We start from the raw sequence: 9501 nt of genomic DNA, 5'->3' as shown, positions 1-9501 counted from the left end.
AGTTTCTTCCCAAAGACCCCTAGAACTGATAAACAACTTCAGTAAAATTTCAAGATACAAAATCAATGCACAAAAACAGCAGCATTTCTAGAAACCAATAATATCTAAGCTAAGAGCCAAGTCAAGAATGCAGTCACATTCACAATAGCCACAAAAAGAATAAAATGCCTAGGAATACAGCTAACCAAGTAGGTGAAATATCTCTATAATGAGAATAACAAAACACTGCTGAACAAAATCAGAGATGACACAAACAAGTAGAAAAATATTTCATGCTCACTGGTAGGAAGAATCAATATTGTTTAAATGGCCGTTCTGTCCAAGAAATTTACACATTCAGTGCTATTCCTATTAAACTACCAATGCCATTTTTCTCCAAATTACAAAAAAAAACTATTTTAAAATTCATATGAAACCTAAAGATAGCCCAAATGACCAAAGTAATCCTAAGCAAAAAGAATAAAGCCAGAAGCATCATACTGACTTCAAACTGTACTACAAGGCTGCAATAACAAAAACAGCATGGCACTGGTATGAAAACAGACATATAGATCAATTATACAGGTTAGAGAACTCATAAATAAAGCCATACACCTACAACCATGTAATCTTTGACGAAGTCGATAATAACAAGCATTGGGAAAGGATTTACTATTCAATAAAAGGTGCTGAGATAACTGGATAACTGGCTAGTCATATGCAGAAAATTGAAACTTGATCCCTTCCTTTCACCATATACAAAAATCAACTAAAGGTAGATTAAAGACCTAAATGTAATACCTAAAACTGTAAAATCCCTAGAAGAAAACTTAGGAAATACTATTCTGGACATAGGGTTTGTCAAAGATTTAATGATGAAGTCTCCAAAAGCAATTGCAGTAAAACAAAAAATAGATAAGTGGTTCCTACTTAAACTAAAGAGCTTCCGCATAGCAAAAGAAACTATCAACAGAGTAAACAGACAACCCACAGAATGGGAGAAAATATAAACTATGCATTAGGCAAAATCCTAATATCCAGAATCTGTAAGAAACTTAAATCAACAACCAAAAAACAAATGACTGCATTAAAAATGGACGAAGGACATTAACAGACACCTCTCAAAAGAAGGCATATACACCTGGCCAACAAGCATATGAAAAAATGCTCAACATAGCTAATCATTAGAGAAATGCAAATCAAAACCACAATTAGTTGGCTGGGTGTTGTGGCTTGCACCTACAATCCCAGCACTCTGGCAGGCCAAGTCAGAAGTATCGCTTGAGACCAGGAGTTCAAGAACAGCCTGTGCAACATAGTGAGACGCCTATCTCTACAAATTAAAAAAAAAGCCGGGGTGGTACACGCTTGTAGTCCCAGCTACTCCAGAGGCTGAGGTGGGAGGGTCGCTTGAGCCTGGGCAGTTGAGGCTGCAGTGAACTGAGATTGCACCACTGTACTGCAGCCTGGGCAACAGAACAAGACCCCATTTCAAAAAAAAACTACAATGAGATACCATCTCACACCAGTCAGAAAGGCTATTAGTCAAGTCAAAAAATGACAGATGTTGGTGAGGTTAGAGAAAAAAGGGAGCACTTATACACTGCCAGTGGGAATGTAAATCATTTCAGCCACTGTGGAAAGCAATTTGGACATTTCTCAAAGAACTTGAAGCAGAACTACCGTTCAACTCGGCAATTCCATTGGTGTGTTGTGTATATACGCAAAAGAATATAAATTGCTCTACCGAAAAGACTCATGCCTTAGTATATTCATCACAGTATTATTCACAATAGCAAAGACATGAAATTAACCTAGATGACCATCAACGGTGGACTGGTTAAAGAAAATATGGTTTTTGTACACCATTGACTACTATACAGCAGTTAAACAGAAGAAAAATCATGTTCTTTCCAACAACATGGATGGAGCTAGAGGCAAATATTTTAAATAAATTAACACAGGAACAGAAAATCAAATACTGCATGGTCTCACTTATAACTGGGTGCTAAACATTGATTACACAAAGAAGAGAACACTAGACACTGGGGCCTACTTGAGGGTGGAGGGTAGGAGGGTCAAAAACCTACCTATTGGGTACTATGCTTACTACCTTGGTGACAAAAAAATCTGTATACCAAACCCCAACCACATGTAATTTATCCATTTAACAAACCTGCACATGTACCCCCGATCCTACAATAAAAGCCGAGAAAAGACCAAAAAAAAAAAAACTGATTACCTCTTTCACATGATTTCATTCTAAAGCAGAATTTACTTTTGATATGAACATTGTTAAGAAAGCTTGCTTATGTGTATCTCAGCACTCCAGGTGGTTACCTTTTAAAGAATAAGATATAATATGGATTTCAACATTCCAAATACTTGCATTTCCAATTATCAGTCATAAAAAATAAGGGAACAGTTGGTACGCTAAGCAGAACATTTATTTCTGCTTAGGGCAATGATTTGTTACACGTGTATGGTATAATGAGCAAAAGAATAAATATTTCAGTGACAGGTTATATAAAACAAACATAACAAACAGATCAAAAGCACAAGTGTGTGCAGGTATGTGTGTGTGTTGGGGGTATATGAATATTGACAAGGGTAAGAAAATATGAAAATCTAAAGAAAGATCCAGAGGTTCATGATAAGAGGAATTGTTCTAAAGAGAATCCTATCAGATGAGGAGACTCAAGAAACAGATATTGGGTTGGATACTCTTTTGTAGTTCCCTATTATTATCAAGATAAAAGGTGACATTTCAACAACTGGCTGTGGGAGAAAAAAAAATGTTCAGAATGCCCCCTCTTACCTTGCCCAGGTGCAGACGTGGGTTATTCCTACATATGGAATGTTAAATCCAAAAGCTATTCACAATAAATTGGGAAGGTAAGTAAACACATGGAATCAATTATCCAAAGAACGTATGATTTTAGAGAACATCTTGTAGCTGTTTACTACTTTCACAAATTGAGAAATTGAGGCTTAGGTAGATTAAATAATTTTGAAATAACAAGAGATGCATAACTGTGATGCCACCAATTATGACTCAAGGGTTGATACTCAGCCCACTTTACATTATGGCTTCTTGGAAAATACAGAAATGTTTCTCAGTGGTGTACTTAATAAATTGCACTTGTTTATCCATGTTTATTTGTAATAAAAAATCACTGAAGCAGTGGACTGTACACCATGCAATGGAGAAACTATAATTGGGAGGTGACTCAAAGAAAGAATGAAACTAAGGCACAAAACAGAAAAACTGAGGCATAGAGATCCACACCGAGGCTAGAGAAAGACGGCATCTCAACATAGCATACCGGACTAGCACCCATTCTCCCCTTAGCAGAGCTCCAGGAGTCTATCTTTGTTGAGGATGCTGAGGAACCATTTTAGGAAGGCTCCTGTTTTTGTCTTTTCAACATATTAAAGATCTGCCCAAAATATCCTAGTTTTTACAGTGAAAATCATGTCATCATGTCATTAGAGCCTATTCCTTTGTACACAATGAAGACCATTATTAGCACCTCATAGGGGAGCAGAAAAAAAACTAACTGACTTAACTTCCATCTATTTTTTATTTTTTTGAGATAGGGTCTCGCTCTGTTGCCAGGCTGTAGTGCAGTGGCACAATCACGGCTCACTGCAGCCTCGACCTCCTGGGCTCAAGTGATCCTCCTACCTCAGCCTCCTGAGGAGCTGGGACCACAGGCACATGACACAACGCCCAGCCAACTTTTGTATTTTTTTTTTTTTATAGAGACGGGATTTTGCTATGTTGCCCAGACTGGTCTCAGACTCCTGGGCTCAAGTGATCTGCCTGCCTCAGCTTCCCAAAGTGCTAGAATTATAGGCATGAGCCACTTCTCCCAGCCTAACTTCCATCTTAAAGATAGAGAGGAAATGTGCTTTCCCTTCGTTTTGAATATGTAAAATGTGAAGTATTTTATCCAGCTGCTAATTATCTCAGAAGACTTTAAAAGGATGTCACAAACCCCTATTTTTTAAATGACAATCAATTCATAAAATAGTATATTAAAATTATAAAAAAACTGATCAAGTCTCAAATAGTTTAAGAAATTTTATTCCTTTCCCATTGGCTTATATTGGTTAATATATCTATATAGATATCACTCAACACAGAGATCTTCCCTGACTACCCTGTCTATAAAAGCACCCCATGATTTTCTGTTTTATTATCCTACTTTTTTTCTTCATGGCACTTTCCATACCTGATATTATATTTTTGTTTGTCTATTTCCCTCGATATAGTATAAACCCCATGAGGGCTTGTACCTTACTTTTGTTTATCGTGTATCCCCAACACCCAGAAGAGTATCTGGTATATCTCTATATCAGCAGCAGCAGCAGCACCCTGGAAATTTCTAAAAATGCAAATTAGCAGGCCCCATCCCAGACCAACTGACTCAGAATGCAGTGAGTGAAGACCAACAATCTATATTTTAACATGCCTTCCAGGACATTCTGATCCATGCCTTTGAAAAACACTAATAGAAAAATGAAAGAATTAATGTATTTAGGTCTGATTGCTTTCAAAGGGCAGACATTTGCATAATGACTTCCTTTTTTTCCTTTAATTCATAGTTAATTAAATTGGAATCCCACTCACATCCACCTACAAAAAAAGGCTACATATTAATATTTGGAGGTGTGGTCATGGCCTATCTGGACTATCTGGATAAGATAAGATTTGACATATCTTAGAATAATGGGGGAAGTTACCAATTTATTATCTTCACTCATATAAATCCCCCCTATCGCCTCCCTGCCCCAATATAATGTGAATAATTTAGTATTATGTTGGAGGAGGACTGGAGTTGGGGGGTTACTCACAACTGCTGATAACATTTATTCTTTAAACAAATATTTAGTGGGTATCTACTGTGTACTGTTCTAGGACTGTTCTAGGAGCCTGTGATATATCGATGAGCAAAACAAAACAAAACAAAATTCCTACTATCCATAAAGTATACTTTCTAGCGAATCCTGATGAAAACTTACATCTTTCTCTCCCTGTCTCTTTCTTTCTCTCTCTTTCAGACTTGAACTAGACTTTGACTCATAACCTATAGCATTGAAGGTGCTATGAAATAAAAAAAAATATTTTAGCATTATGTTTCACAGAGTCTATATCTTTTTAAAAATTACCTCCAAAGCCCCCCAAAATCATGACTAAAATGGAGAATAGGCCCTGCTACCTTTACATTGTCTCCTAATACTAGACTTATAGGCTTCTTCAAGAGCCTGTGCCCTAAAGACACACAATTACACTTCACATCCCACTTGTTATTGTTGATGGCTGCAGTAATAATAACTAGCATAGTGCTTCCTATGTGGCAAATACTATTCTGAGTTTTTCACACATAAAAACTCATTTAATTCTTACAATAACCCAATGAGGCAGGTACTACTATTTTAATCTTCATATTCTACAAATCAGGAAAGTGAGGCACAGAGAGGTTACATAACTTGCCCAAGTGTTTACAGATGGTTCAGAATCAGGCTTCAAATTGATACCATTCATCTCTAGAAACTGTGCTGTTAACCAATGCACTAGTGATTCTTTGTTATGTCAAGGAACATAATTACCTAAGAACTCAATATGAGAGAAATCTTCCTAAAGCACTTGTAACAAACAGTGGCAATTTATGCTTGCAATATTGATTAGACTGACTAATTACTTCTGTGAACTGCTAACCAAATAACTAATACTGTCTCCTTTAAACCATTGACTCTGTTATTAACGACAATAACAGCCTTGGAAGAGTTCCTCACATGTTCATTCAGTTTATCATTGTTTTGTTTCCATCTTTTTCTTTATTTCATATTTCTTTTCTCATACACACACACACACACGTGTGTAAATTTCTTTTGGTATGTGTGCTCTCTTCCTTTTTAGATCTCATTCTCTCCCTAACATTCATTGTCAAACTCATACAAATAACCTTTTGAAAATGCTGAAATAAGGCTGTTTCTATAGCAGCAGTTTTCAAATATCTTGAATTTTTCTCTAATCGGTACAGGCTTTTAAGGTCATTCAGAAAACTAAATTAGCTATTCCTGAATATGCTGGTATTTCAAGAGCTGCATTGTTCTCTCTTTCTGATGAAATTCTGTTAACAAATATCAGTTACAGGAGGACAGAGTCAATTAACTTTTAGAAAATCCATTCTTTAAGAAAGGACTATAGCCCAGGTTTACACAATCTCAGAATTTAATGAGCTTTGATTTTTTACTTAAAAGGTTATAAGTTCTTGAATGATGTTGAAGTAACAACATTCTATATTTTTGCCTTGTATATCACATTGCCAAGCACATAAAAGCACTCAATAAACACTTTTAAAAATTAATATAAGGACTTCAAGTCCCAAGCAAGATAGAGTAAGTCAACTATAGCCTATTTCTTCCACTGATTACAACTAAAACCTCTGGACAAATTATAAAAATAAACTATCAGAAGGTATGTTAACAGGAGAAAAAATGCCTATTTTTCTCTGGTTAAACATATTTAAAATATTGTGAAAGATAGAATGGCCCCCCAAATGTTTATGAACTAATCCTGGGAACCTGTGAATATTCTTTATTATATTACAAAAGAGACGGTAGAGATGTAATTAAGGTTATTGCTGGAGTCAGATAGAGTCAGAAGAATAAGAAGTCAGAGAGATTCAAAGAATGAGAGGAACCTGACATGCCATTGCTAGAGGAGGCCACATGGAAAGCATGGGTAGGAATGTGAGCAACCTCTAAAAGCAAAGACTGGCCCCAGCTGATGATATTCAGCAAGGAAAGAGGAAACTCAGTGCTCCAGATGAAAGAAAATATATATGGCCAATAACCTGAATAAGCTTGGAAGTCGATTTTTTCTACAGATCTTCCAGTAATAAACAAATATAGCTCTGCTGATACCTTAATTTAGGCTTTGTGAGGCCCTGAGCAAAAGACCCCAGTGAGTCATGTTGTGATTGGCTTCTGATTCATAGAATCGAGCTAATAAATGGCTGTTGTTTTATGCTGTTAAATTTCTAGCAACTTGTTATGGAAGCAATAGAAAAACAATGAATATTTTGGTACCAGAAGTGGGGCATTTATATGACAAATATCAAAAAACGTGGAAGTGAGTTTGGAATGGGTTAGTGAATAAAGGTTGGAAGACTTTGAGGAGCATGACATAAAAAGACTAAATTGACTTTAACACTCTGTAAGTAGAAATACTGATGCTGCTTGTCAGGGTTCAGAAGGAAGAGAAGATAACTTGAGAGAAATTGTAAATCACTAGCGAAAGCCTAAATCACTTGAACAGACTATTAATAGAGATCTAGACTTGGATGATAGTACTGGTTAAGGCTCAGAGAGAAGTGAGGAACATATTTCTGTAAACTGAAGGAAAGGAGACCCATGTTATGCACTGTCAGACAGTTTGGTGAAATTGCATCCTGCAGTTATATGAAAAGCAGAACTTGTAAATGAAAGTCCTGATCATTTACCTCACATCTCCAAGCAAAATTTTAAAGTGCATTCTGTTTTCTTCTCACTGCTTATAGTAAAAATAAAGAGAAGAAAGAGAACTTAAGGAAAGAACTGTGAAATTAAAATAAAAATACCCAGGAATTAATGATTTGGAAATTTTCCAACCTATTCAGATGCCAAAAAGTCAGAGTATTCAGTCACACAAAATGCATTAAAGGTGTGGCCCACAGATCCCCTTAAACAAATCAGGGACCCTCTAGGTATCTTAAGGGAATCATGCCTTAGACATCCCAGCAGAAGCCAAGCATAGAGAATCATCCAAAAAGATCTGTAGACCTAACTTCTGTCTAATGAATACTTGTGACATCAAGATGAGATCCACAAACTTCTTGAGAATTGTATATAATCAGAACACTGTCAGCTTAGATTGAAAAGGACAGAGAAAGTAAGTAATTAAAGAAGGCTGGAGAACCTGTGAAATGCTGCTGACAGTAAGCAGGCTGATAAAGTTATTTTGCTGCAAATACATGCTTCCTCCCATGAAAAAGGGAGAATGACTTAGAGGACAGAGCCAAGAGCATACAGGACAGAGCTTAGAGCACCGAGGGCAAGGCTGAGAACCACAGAAAATTATTTCCATTTCCAGGTATTGAACTATAAGGGAGTTTGAATGACTAATTTCAAAACTGTTTTAGATTATTGATTATTGTTTACTATCCATCTTCCCTTTTTGGAAATAAAATGTCTACACTGTAACTGCTATCCTATATCTGTGCCACAAGTGTATTTTGGGAGCAGTTCACTTGTTTCTTTAGCTTCACAGGCCCGCAGATGGAGAGGAATTATGCCCTAAAATTTGTATCTAATGAATTATAGCCACAGTCTCATCCACAACTGATTTAGATTAATAGATTTAGGTTTTTTGAGCTGATGAGATTTACATGCTATTTTTGGACTTTGTTTTGACATGGTAATGGAATGAGATCTTTGAGGAACTTAGAATGAAGTGAGTATTTTCTTTTTTATTTGGAACGGACATGAATCTTTTGTGGCCAGAGGGTGGATTGTGGTAGATAGAATACCCACCAAGATGTTCAAAATCCAAATCTTAGGAACCTGTTAATATGTCACATGGCATGGCAAAAAGGAATTGGCAGATGTAATTAAGGTGACCAACATTAAAATAATAAAGAGATTATTCTTGCTTCTCCATGTGGACCTAATGTAATTCCATGAACCCTTAAAAGCAGAGAACTTGTTCCAGCTGAGGTCACAGAGATGTAGTATCAGGGACTGTGAGAAAGATTCAAAGCATAACCAGGACTCTATCCACTGTAGTGGGAGGGGAACACATGGAAAACATGAGAAGTAATGCATGTGCACTTGCACTCCAGGAGCAAAGACCTGCCTTAGCTAACAAGCAACGAGGAAACAAGGACCACGGGCCTACAGCTACAATTGGATGTCCATATGCAAATATATAAATAAATGAACAAGCTATAATCTATATAGTTTGGCAGCAAAATACAATAAGTATCACAAGAAATGTAAGTGGCCTAGCTTCATCCATCAAATCATATAACACCTCAGACTTAACTAGAAATAAAATTCAATTATATGTTGCTTATAAGACACATGTTTTTAGTAAAAAATTTAAAAAGAAAGGCTGAAATCTGTAAATCAAAAGTCCTTAGAAACTACTAGAAACAAAGAAAAAATGAGGAAAACAATAGTGGCATGATATGTTTAACTAATGTCAATCTACCACAGATAACACTAAACAAATTAAATAGCAAAGGAATAAAAATTTAATTATTAACATAGAATTAGATGTGCTTTAAATTCTATAACTCACTAATTGAAATTATACTCATTTTCAAATGTCTTTTTATAAAATAACAGACAATATATCAAGCTGCCAAAAAAGGTGAGAATATCCAATTAAGTTAGTAATATAAAAAAGAGTAAATGTTTAGAAACAAAAATGGTGCACCCTAAGTAATAACTCAAAGACAAATTGAAAAT

The sequence above is a fragment of the Homo sapiens genome, chromosome X (assembly GCF_000001405.40).
Source record: "Homo sapiens chromosome X, GRCh38.p14 Primary Assembly".
In the NCBI taxonomy this organism is placed as follows: domain Eukaryota; kingdom Metazoa; phylum Chordata; class Mammalia; order Primates; family Hominidae; genus Homo; species Homo sapiens.
This window is presented reverse-complemented; position numbering follows the sequence as displayed.